This window comes from Homo sapiens, chromosome 5 (assembly GCF_000001405.40).
Source record: "Homo sapiens chromosome 5, GRCh38.p14 Primary Assembly".
Taxonomy (NCBI): Eukaryota; Metazoa; Chordata; class Mammalia; order Primates; family Hominidae; genus Homo; species Homo sapiens.
In genome coordinates this window covers 87425392-87437759 of record NC_000005.10, presented here as the reverse complement: position 1 = coordinate 87437759, position 12368 = coordinate 87425392, and the positions used below count along the sequence as shown (strand labels likewise).

The following is a 12368-nucleotide window of genomic DNA, read 5'->3' as shown; positions in this document are numbered from 1 at the left end:
TTGAAATCAAATCAAAGATGATAAATTTTTATTTAAAAAAAAGGAAAAGAAAAAAGAGACAAGGCAAAAAAATGTAAGTGTGAATCTTTGACTGGATCCTGATTTTAAAAGAGCAGCTATGAAGGATGTAATTGAAGTGAGTGGAGAATTTTGAAAAAAGATATATATTATCTGTGCATTATATAATTGTGATGTTATTGTTAAGTTAAATTTCCTTAGTTTGATTTTTTTTTTCTTTTGAGATGGAGTCTGGCTCTATCTTCCAGTCTGGAGTGCAGTGGCACAATCTTGCTCACCGCAGCTCACTGAGGCTCACTGTAACCTCCACTTTCTGGGTTTAAGGAATTCTGGTGCCTCTGCCTCCCGAGTAGCTGGGATTACAGGCATGCATCACCACGCCCGGCTAATTTTTGTATTTTTAAAGTAGAGACGGGGTTTCACCATGTTGGCCAGACGGGTCTTGGACTCCTGACCTCAATTAATCGGCTCGCCTCGGCCTCTCCAAGTGAACCACTGCGCCCAGCTTGGTTTGTATTCATATGGAAAAATGCCTTTGTTCTTAGGAGTTACATGCAGAAATATTTGAGTATAAAATTGTATAATTTGAGAGTAAGTTGTTCTCAAATGTTTCAGAATAAAAAATATATTAATACGTATATAAACAGTGAGGTAGAGCAAGGAGTGTGAGCGTTGATTTATTATTCCTATAGACTTTCTGTAGGCTTGGTATTTTTACAAAATAAAATGTTAGAAAATAATTGATTCCTGAGTCTCACCCCTAAATCTTCTGATTTAATTAGTTGGAGGAGTAGCCTAAGCATGGGGATTTTTTTTAAGCTCCATAGATTTTGCTTAGGTTGAAAACCACTGCAATAGTTCATAATTGTATTTTACAACTATCTGGGGTGTGGAGGAATCACAGCTCCTTCAGCATAGCAATTCTTGAGCTTTGACTTTAGGACAACATCTTTATAGGTGCTTAACATATATTAACTGGCTACATTTGAATAGCATAGGGTATAGGCTTGGATACTTGATTTTAGTCTTTTATTCATTTTCACAAGATATATCTGTGAGTGATTTACTTTGTACCAGAAACCCACGCATTTCAACCCATAAATAAGGCCAGACCATTTAAAATAACATCTGCCTTGAATATGTAAACTACTAGACCAGAGAGTTAAAATTTGAGAATGTTATGTGAAAAACACTCAAAATTATATGCAGTCAGGATATATATCACTGAAGGGCAAGAGTTTTCCACACACACAAAAATATATTAATGCAAGAAAAGATGTGATAAAATATGTATGCATTTATCCCACACTGAATGACAAGAAATATAAATTTCTAAAAATCAATAGCTGAGTAAAAAATAAAAATTTAGCTTTACATCTGACCTTCATCCAGAATAAAAGACTAAAGGTGAAAATCTCAAATTTAGTTATATTTTATGTAACATTTTTAAAAGATTTAATGGATGATATACTATCAAAGGAACTTTATATCTCTATGGCCAAGTATAAAATTTAGATTGCATTTGGTCCTGATTTCAGGGATTTGTGCTGCTTGCTATAGGAAAATTAGACATCATCTGAAGCTATAATTATATATAACTTTTGCCCTGACATTTGCCAGCCAGTCAATGTCCTTGCTCTTTCCATGTTTTTGCATGTAAAAAAAGTAAACAAATTAAACAATAATATTTCTATAAAAGGGAAAGTTACAAGAAGAATGAAAAATAAATACTCTTCAATATAACAGAATAATAGACAATCTCTAGGCTTTGATAGTTTCAAACAACCCATTACTTCTTTATCAATAATTAAATCTATCATTAAACAAAATTTTATCCTTTAAGAAAGTGCATATAATTGGTCTCTTTGCTATATTTGTGTTAGGTGAGGTCTAGTTGCACAGCCAAAATTCCATATCAAGCTTAGCAGTTACCTTATACTCTTAAGCACACAGTGTCTTTATCTTCTAATCCTAAAAAACAAATTTTATTTGACCATTACTACAAACATTACCCCCATATGTACATTAAGCAAAGAAATTCAGTTCTATAATTGTTTACTAGAAAAATAAAATCTATTCCCCTCTCCTTGCCTCTTCACTAACATCTGCCACCAAGATCAGAAAAGAGAATGGTGCATTATTTAAGAGCAATAATGTATACACTTTGGTTTGGTCACATACAGCTAAGAAAGCAGGTATAATGAGACACCTGAACTGGTTATTTACTTTATACCCAGTAGCCTTATGAGATGCAATTTAGAAATGAGGAAGTAAATGAAAAAAAAAATGTTAACACCACCAGAACAAACTTTGGATAACAGTGGCCTTGAAAATTATAGGGAAGAAACTCGTTTCTCTTCTTCCTTATGGATTTAGTCTTTCCTGTCCCTGAACATTATTTGCCCAGAAGAGAGATGTGTATGCATTTGTGTGGTGTGTGTGTGCGTGTGTGTGTGAGAGACAGTGTGTGTGTGAGAGAGGGAGTGTGTGTGTGTGAGAGAGAGTATGTGTGTGTGTGTGTAATCCAACAGCTACCCACTTAACACTAAGATTAAGGATGCCCATCTGCAACTCACACCATTGGAGAGACTTTTAGAGATGAGGCTTGTCAAGGCCACACCCATTCTAGATCTTTCTCTAAGACTTGGAGTGTGAATGCCAAATTTGCACTGTCCTTCTTGAGCCCCCATGAAATTATTACAACTCATACTTGGGAGAGTATACTTCTGGGAGGGAGGGAAATAAATTCTAGAGTAAGACTAATTTGTGGATAAGAAATAAAATTTCTAACAGTAGATAAAGAAATTGACAAGGAGAAACTCTTACAAACCTGATGATAGAATGAGGTTAGAAACTGGGACACCTTCCTAAGAGGCCTTGCAGGAAAGGTAGAAATTTTGGGACACTTTCCCTTTGGACCATGGGAAAGCCATGTCACTCTCATTTACAATTCTTTCTCCATTGCTTTTTGTTTTCTTCAATCTTTTATAAATTCAGATATAATTTAATAACTGTATGTGGTATTTGTGACGAAGAAGGAAGGAACAGGGCCATAAAGACAGATTGGACCTGTAACACTTTTATCACACACACTTCTGCAGAGGACTTTGGCAAGCAGCACCATTTCTCTGAGAGGCCTTGAAGTTCATGAACATGATTTATTTTTTTAAAAAAAGTTTTTTATAAAAGGGTTTTACATCTACTTTTTTGTACCATACTCTATTGCCCTGCCACATCTCTTTTTCCTATGTATTACATTAGATATTGTGAAAAAGTATTGTTGAAACAGAACTTATATCATCAAAAAAGAAAGAAAACAAAGAACTAGAAAGGACTTGTGTAAAATGTTGGATTTCTGTTCCCAGAACTCATTGAACTTACTTCTCCCTCAACCATCTATAGATGAACATGGGCTATCATAAAATCATAGTTAGAACCTTAGAGATTTTGATGATAAGAGTCTACTGTCAGAGAAACCAGTTTCAAGTCATTTCAAGAATACTAAATGATTTTCATTTGGGAAATTCTAGTTTAAAAAAAAACAAACATGTTGATGTAGGTCCAAATGAACTCAATGTAGGTACAAGACTTGACCACATCACACAAGCAGTAAACAGCAAAGTAAGAGTCTGCCTAGTTTCGTCTAACTCCAGAACTCTTGCTGTTCCCCACTACACTGCACTATCCCCTAGCTTTATAATGTCAGCCTGCACACCTAAGCAATCATTATGAACCTATCCCTGGAATCTTGTAGAATGACAGGAAGTCCTGTTGGAACCCTAGGAGCAGGTTATGACAGCATCACTTCTTTTGAAAATGGGGAAAACTGTTCTGCTTATCAGTTACCAACCACATAAGGATACTAATCTTTTTGTTCTTTATTCGGAATTAAGAAAGGGACATGGGGGCATCAAAGCTAACAAGCAGCAAGATTCTTCTGCCTGCATCCCTGAGAAGCTGTGAAATTTAGGTAGTTAAAAGGTGACTGGCAGGAGGATCCAATCCGTTGTGTTCTCTGCATTGACACATATATCATAATGTTGGGTAACAGTACAACGCTGAATGCAGAATATAGATTTCTTGTCATATATCATGTGTAAGAGATGTATTTAATATTCACTATTGAATATTAAAACTATATTCCCTTGAAGCAACATAGGCATCAAGAAAGAAAGAAAAATGACATGTTATCTTTTTTGACATGATAAACATCAAAAAGACTCAGAATAAACATTATCTTAATCATGATAGGTATGCCTGGGGAAAGAACATGGTAGTTGCTGGAAGCACAAGAGCATCAGATGAGTCCAGCAAGCCCAGTTCTGTTCATGACTGTGACATCAAATATATAACCTTTGACGACCTTAAGTCCCTCACCTTAGTTTCCTCATCTATTAAAGCCAGCTATTTACATGGCCTGTATCTACCTATTAGCTTATTGTGAGGAGTAAATAAAATAATGGGGATGATCACAACAAACTTCTATAAAAACAAAAGTTTGTCTAATACTTTGATAGGATAATACATCTATTATATGCAAATTTTACTTAACTACAGAATTATTTTAATTAGCAACTACAGATTTGTTGAGTCATCCATATAAAATTAGAAAATAGAACTATTAAGTATACATATTTAAACAGCAGTGTGGGAAACATTGAAGCACTATTTATTGAGTGTAGTTTCTGGTGTGATTCAATTCTCATCCCAAAGACATAGAATGTCTTTTATTTTCCCAGGTTAAATATAGTATCTTCGGGAATTATTGACATTTAAAAAAAACATTTTCAATTAATATTAAATTCTGAGTGGTGCAATATTTTGAAAGAGGAAAGAGAGCAAAGAATAAACAAATGAAATTGATTTTCAAGTCTAAAAGTTTAAAAACATAAAAAGTAGGAATTAAAATATTAAAATGGTGGTGTCAGATGTTGGATAGGCACAATGTCTTAGTCCATTTAAACTGCTATAACAAAATACCATATACAGGGTATGTTATGAACAACAGAAACTTATTACTCACCGTTCTGTAAGGTGAACAGTTCAAGATCAAGGCATCAGCAGATTCAGTGTCTGATGAGGGCCCCTTCCCTCATAGATGACATCTTCTAGCTGTGTCTTCATGTGGTGGAAGAGGGAAGGAACAAGCCTCATAGTGTCTCTTTTATAAGGACAGTAACCTTTTATCTGGATGCTGAGGAGCCCTCATGACCTAATTGCCTCCCAAAGGGCCCCACCTCCTGATACCATCACGTTGGAGATTAGGTTTCCATCTTTGAATTTTCAGAGGACAAAAGCATTCAGACTATAGTACATAGGCCTGCATATTTCCAGTTCTAGAAGGATCTCACACTTTGGAGTGTTTTTCTCTACATTTTCTGTAGCTTCCTCTATGCCTGGTAGTGGCTAGACCAGCAGTGCCATCCAATCAGGGTTCTCCAAGCTCAGATCATAAAACACAAGGTCTTCATTCTCCATTTCTCCACTAAGGTATTTCTCCAACCAACTTTCCAGGACCTGGGTTCTACCAAATGCCCATGGAACCCTAGGGCTCATGCGGATGGGATTGTCCTGAGACCCCTGCCTGACCTCTAATCCAAGAGAGCAGACTGAAGAGTGGTAACTCCCAATGTCAGCACAGAATTTCTTTTTGTGGGACCACACAAGACTGAGTTTTCAGAATGGAACCAACAAGCAGCAGATGTTGGCCGACTCTCTTATCGATGTAAGACAAGTTCAGGACTCAGAGCTACAAAGAATCTACTGCTAAAACTTGAGCTTGATCTGAGTGTGTGGTCTAGAACATGGGCTCACACTCACCTCTGTTGTGACCACAGTACCACCTTTGATCCAGCACTGAAGAGTATTCTTTACCCTATGTACCCTTGGCCATCCCTGTGGCAGATACCTACCCCTTCTTTAGGTTCCATGCCCCATGTCTGGCAGTTCTCTGGGATTTGGTCATATTATCTACTCTAAGGCCTTTGGATCTATATCTACTCTGGCTATTGATCACTGTGGTAATGCCATGCTTTTGTAAGATGGACTTCCTTACACAAATTGGACCATTCTTTCCCTATCCCATTCCCCTTCCCCTCAAACTCCTCATCTGTTCTCTCCTCTGGTGGCAGTGTATAGAAGGAAGAGAGAGTCAACTTTTAAGAAGATCATGTTTTATGTGTGCAGTGATTATAGCCTAAGGAGTTCAAGAGAAAATATAGTTGGAAGTCATGTTGTTCTATGCTTATGCATTAAAATTCAAAACGAGAAATTTAACATGAATGGAGAATGAATTGTTGTTCACATGTTTCTGCATAGTCTGGGTAAGTTTACATTTCTGTTCATCATCAATAAAACATAGTAACAACATTTAAGAGAGTCTTTGGGGGCCAGTAATCATGGAAAGCACTATGGATGATGCAAAGTCATGAGCAATCATGTAACCAGAATTAAATAAATGGTATTAGGGAACTGCAGAGGCAAGATCTATATTTTTCAATATAAGCAGGTTCCAGCAAGCCATGACCTTATGAGTAATAACAATGTTAATGCCTTTTTCTTTGAGTAAGAGATATAAAATTAGCCAGGAATGGTACATTTTACAATAAAGAAGAGAGGGCTCCTGTACCTGAACAGGAAAAGATGATACCTGGATACTATTAGAAAATGTCATCTGCCATGGGCCTGATCAGGCTTGCATGTTCTTGCTCTGTGTGCCAGATTACTAGCCTTATCCATCCCCTGTTACTGATCAGGGACACATAGGCACTAAGTAGGTCAAAGTGACCACAATAAGACTCCAGGTTTGTAGCAGGAGGGGTCTGAATGATTTGCTACCTGCTACAACATTTTGTAGCTTGCTCAGAGAGTCCTGTACCCTTGGGACCCCTACTTTAATGCAACTCACTGCAAGTACAGGTATCATCTAAGCCCATTTCATCAAGCTCTGATACTTGGCAAGGAGAACCAATGCAAATATGCTGATGCTCATGCTTTTTGCTGTACTGTGAGCAATTAAATCCTTTGCCTCTGACCCAGGAGTCTCCTGTTTTTTTGCCAGTATCCTCGAAATAGTAACAAACTAACTTGTTAGATTGCATTAGGGTAAACTCTCAGAACCTTCACAGTTTTTGGCAGATACTACAAAGAATCCCTTCTCAACTCATTATTCTAAATCACCATCAACCTATCACTATAACTCACATGGGCCTGTGAATTTCATAACACATTGTAAAATCAAATTAACCACATAGACAGGAGCCTGACAAAAAAGTTTTGCCCTGTACCCTGCACACCCTATGGATGGCCCTAGATAGGTTCCCATTATTTGAATGGCTACTTATGTCATAAAGTAGAAAATGTACCCAAGTTTGCTTTTTGTTTTGTGAAACTGAGAGTCCGGAAATAATTTAATAATCAAAGCATGTTTGTACAAGTAATTAAGAAAGATAATAATTTTAAAATAACTTTTTATTAAATTAATATATGCCAGACAGTGATCAAATATTTGAGGAATCTAATCTCTCTCCCCAACTGCAAGACCCCATTGTAGTGGTTCCTATACCTATTACTGTGAGCCTCCCTTGAATAAAGTCTGTCTTTCCAACTTTAAGAAAAAGAAAAAAAGCTGAGCACAATGGCGTGCACCTGTAGTCCTAGCTACTCGGGGGAGGAGCTCTTGAGACCAGGAGTTTCAGTCCAGCCTGGTGTGATGTCTCATCAAAAAAAAAAAAAAAAAAATCACTTCTTGATCTTTTGGCTAAGATCAAGTGTGAATGTTTGATATATATTATCTCATTTAATCCTATAATTCCATTATCCTCAAATTTTTCTACCAATTAACAACATGTTTGAAGTTTCATCCTTAGTTAATATATTAAAGCATTCTACTTAAAGGAATGGATAAATGTAAACTAAAGATAAGGAGGGTCTTAAAAAAGAAGGCAGGTGTGTTTGCAGATATTTTTAAAGGACACTGGATCAGCTCATAGATTGAACATGAATGACCAAGACCAGGAATAACAAAAATTAGGGTTCTTGAGGACCTCAGGAATTAGAACTAGAGACATGAAAAACCTTTTCAACACTGTTTCTTGTCTTCTTTTCTTTGGTTCCATCTTGTCTTTTATTCCTCTGTCTGCTTAAAACTCTCATTCCAAGGTTGAATCACTACCACTAGTGAATGCTGGATTAATATCCTTACAACTTTACCATCTGAGATAGAAGGGCTCATTCCTCTAACTCAAGCTTAAATTCATAAGGAAGAGTCTGACTGGCATGACATATGTCTGGTGCCCACTCCTTGGACTAATCACTGTGGGCACAATGTACTATGATTAGCAATCTTTACTAAAGGTAGTCTATTAATCCCAGAAGGAGGAAAAGATGCTGGGAAAACCAAGCAAAGTAATATCCAAAATAATCATTTAAACAATTATGACTTTATCTTTACTTTATTTTATTATTATTATTATTATTATTATTATACTTTAAGTTTTAGGGTACATGTGCACAATGTGCAGGTTAGTTACATATGTATACATGTGCCATGCTGGTGTGCTGCACCCATTAACTCGTCATTTAGCATTAGGTATATCTCCTAATGCTATCCCTCCCCCCTCCCCCCACCCCACAACAGTCCCCAGAGTGTGATGTTCCCCTTCCTGTGTCCATGTGTTCTCATTGTTCAATTCCCATCTATGAGTGAGAACATGCAGTGTTTGGTTTTTTGTCCTTGCGATAGTTTACTGAGACTGATGATTTCCAACTTCATCCATGTCCCTACAAAGGACATGAACTCATCATTTACTATAAAATTATGAACGAACCACGTCAATATCATTCATTTATTTTTTGATAGAAAGAAGAGTTCTTATTCAAGTCCACCAACTGAATGCCATCTAGGGACCCAGAACCCACACAGCTAAGAGATTCCTACTATTTATGAACATGACACTGAAGTTTTTTTTTTTTTTAAGATGCTCTATGTAGCCAAGAAAAGTATTCCAAACACATTGTAGTTATCAAGAATCATCAACCTTAAAATGGCACTATCACGGATAAGGGATTCCCTGATATGGCCAATACAGGCAGTAGGGCTTACTATTTATCTTTAATGAAGAATTATATTAAACCTATTCAATGTCATAGAAATACTAGTTAATTAATTCAACAGCATGTTTGAATTTACATTAGAAAAGCAAAACCACTTGTTTTTGAATATCTGCACCATCATCCACATGCAAGCTTTTTTTGAGTTAATTTTTGTATAAGGTGTAAAGAAGGGGTATATAAATGTCATTCACATTCTAATCATGAATTTTGAGCACTTTGCAATGAGCAACATTTTCAAAAACATTTATTTTTATAAACTTGAAAACTTTGGCAACCTCTTTCACTAGAGGACATTTGATAAGACTGATTCTAAGAAAATCTGAGTATAAATGATAGGTCACTATGATTTTTATTACTATACCCATTTCTACTATTGGCACCTTTCAATTAAGGCAACATCAAGATGTATCTGTTCGATATATAGACCAATGAAACAGAATAGAGGCCTCAGAAATAACACCACACATCTACAACTATCTGATCTTTGACAAACCTGACAAAAACAAGCAATGGGGAAAGGATTCCCTATTTAATAAATAATGTTGGGAAAACTGGCTAGCCATATGCAGAAAACTGAAAATGGACCCCTTCTTTACACCTTATACAAAAATTAACTCAGGATGGATTAAAGACTTAAACCTAAGACCTAAAACCATAAAAACTCTAGAAGAAAACCTAGGCAATACCATTCAGGTATTCTTTACACCTTATACAAAAATTAACTCAGGATGGATTAAAGACTTAAACCTAAGACCTAAAACCATAAAAACTCTAGAAGAAAACCTAGGCAATACCATTCAGGACATAGAGGCATGGGCAAAGACTTCATGACTAAAGCACCAAAAGCAATGGCAACAAAAGCCAATATTGACAAATGGGATCTAATTAAACTAAAGAGCTTCTGCAAAGCAAAAGAAACTATCATCAGAGTGAACAGGCAACCTACAGAATGGGAGAAAATTTTTGCCATATATCCATCTGACAAAGGGCTAATATCCAGAATCTACAAGGAACTTAAACAAATTTACAAAAAAAAAAAATCCCATCAAAAAGTGGGCAAAGGATACGAACAGACACTTTCCAAAGGAAGACATTTATGCAGCCAACAAACATATGAAAAAAAGCTCATCATCACTGGTCATTAGAGAAATGCAAATCAAAACCACAATGAGTGAGATACCATCTCACACCAGTTAGAATGGTGATCATTAAAAAGTCAGGAAACAACAGATGCTGGAGAGGATGTGGAGAAATAGGAATGCTTTTGGTGGGAGTGTAAATTAGTTCAACCATTGTGGAAGACAGTGTGGCGATTCCTCAAGGATCTAGAACCAGAAATACCATTTGACCCAGCTGGGTACATACCCAAAGGATTATCAATCATCCTACTATAAAGACACATGCACACGTATGTTTATTGCCGCACTGTTCACAATAGCAAAGACTTGGAACCAACCCAAATGCCCATCAATGGTAGAGTGGATAAAGAAAATGTGGCACATATACACCATGGAATACTATGCAGCCATAAAAAGGATGAGTTCATGTCCTTTGCAGGGACATGGATGAAGCCGGAAACCATCATTCTCAGCAAACTAACGCAGGAACAGAAAACCAAGCACCGCATGTTTTCACTTATAAGTAGGAGTTGAACAATGAGAACACATGGACACAGGGAGGGGAACGACACACACCGGGGCCTATTGGGGGCTGAGGGCCTAGGGGAGGGATAGCATTAGGAGAAATACCTAATGTAGATGACAGGTTGATGGGTGCAGAAAACCACCATGGCACGTGTATAACTATGTAACAAACCTGCACATTCTGCACATGTATCCCAGAACTTAAAGAACAATAAAAACAAAAAGATTTTAAAAAAAGATATGTCTGTTCAAAAGGAGTAGCTTTGACATGCTAAGGGACTCACTTGGATGGTACACGCCAAGTGAAAAATCAGGTTGAAGATATGATTACAGGAACATTCTAAAGTTGTTTGATATGTGAGTACAAGCAACTAACTCTACTTCTCCTGGGAAGTGGGTGGGAAACCGTATTGAGATAGATACTGATGATCAGAAAATAAAGACCAAGATAACTTACTACATGCTATCAGTATTACATCATCTGGCAGGCACATCTGAGGAGACATTTTAGGGCTGAAGGGCTCCTCCCTAGTTTTTCTGAAATGAGGGTCACATGACTTTCCTGGGCCCTAGCTGCTTTTGCCTTCATGGCCAAAATACAACAGAATTACAAATTGTATTTTATCACTGTGTTGACATAAAGATGACTATATTACTATTTTATGTTAAAACATTTTCTTTGACGCAAAAGGGTATTTTTTTTCCTTCTAACTTAAAAGATATTAAAACATGATCGTGGGCCCCTAAAAGCACTGTGGTCCATGGGCACTGCCCCTACTGTGCCTAATGGAGAAGGCGGCCCTGGCTAAAATCACACCACTTACTCTTCCATAATATCCACTCTTGAAAATCCAGTTCCATTAGGGTCTTGGCAGTTTTAGGATGAGAACTATTATAAAGTCAAAGATTCTAAATGACTAGCTAGTGAATACGAGCATCCACTAATTTAAAAAGAATATCTGCACCATCATCCACATGCAGGCAGTCCATTTTCCGTTGACTGAAACAGAAATGTTAGAGTTGAGAATTTTAGATTGAAAAGAAGTACAACGTAAAAGCAGCTGTTTCTAAGGAAGTTTCTGATGTTACCTTTGAATTCAATAAGTTGGCAGAAAACAGTGTCTTCTTTAGAATATAGTTAACATCTGTTGGTTGACCTGGTGCCACGTTCTGTACTCTAAGCCACCGAAAGGCAAGCAAACACTTGAGAGTTGTTTGACAAAAATAAACATCCCTGTCCTAAATAAGAGGAAGCCATTTTAGAGTATTCATCTAGTCATTCAGTAAATATTGATTAGTGCCTAGTGTATTAGTTGCTAGAGTTATGAGGCAATTCTGGAAGTGTGAAAATGCCTGGTAAGTTTAGAAGCCTGCAAGCAATTCTTTAGGCTGGAACTCTGCATGTGCTGTGGGGTGGAAGATGGTGGTGATTCTAGAAAAGCAATCGTCAGATGTTGAGGGGGATTGTTTGCCTTGTTAATGAGGTTGATTTTATCCGAAAGTTGATGAGGAGCCAATGAACAATTTTAACTGGAAGAGTGGTGTGATTAGACTTATAATTGAAAAAGGTGTCTACAGTGGTAGTATGCACTG

General features: G+C 36.9%; 1 long non-coding RNA gene across 2 annotated transcripts in view; it reads right to left on the bottom strand.

Annotated features, from left to right (window-relative positions):
• The window catches only part of LOC105379066 (uncharacterized), a 70191-nt gene that overhangs the window by 45413 nt on the left and 12410 nt on the right, over nt 1–12368 (bottom strand). The window contains exon 2 of one of the 2 annotated variants that reach the window (XR_948542.2): nt 5042–5136. The exons of the other annotated variant lie outside the window; for it this stretch is intronic. This is a non-coding gene — a long non-coding RNA (uncharacterized LOC105379066). The remainder of the gene's footprint in view (nt 1–5041; nt 5137–12368) is intronic. 2 annotated transcript variants of the gene reach the window in all.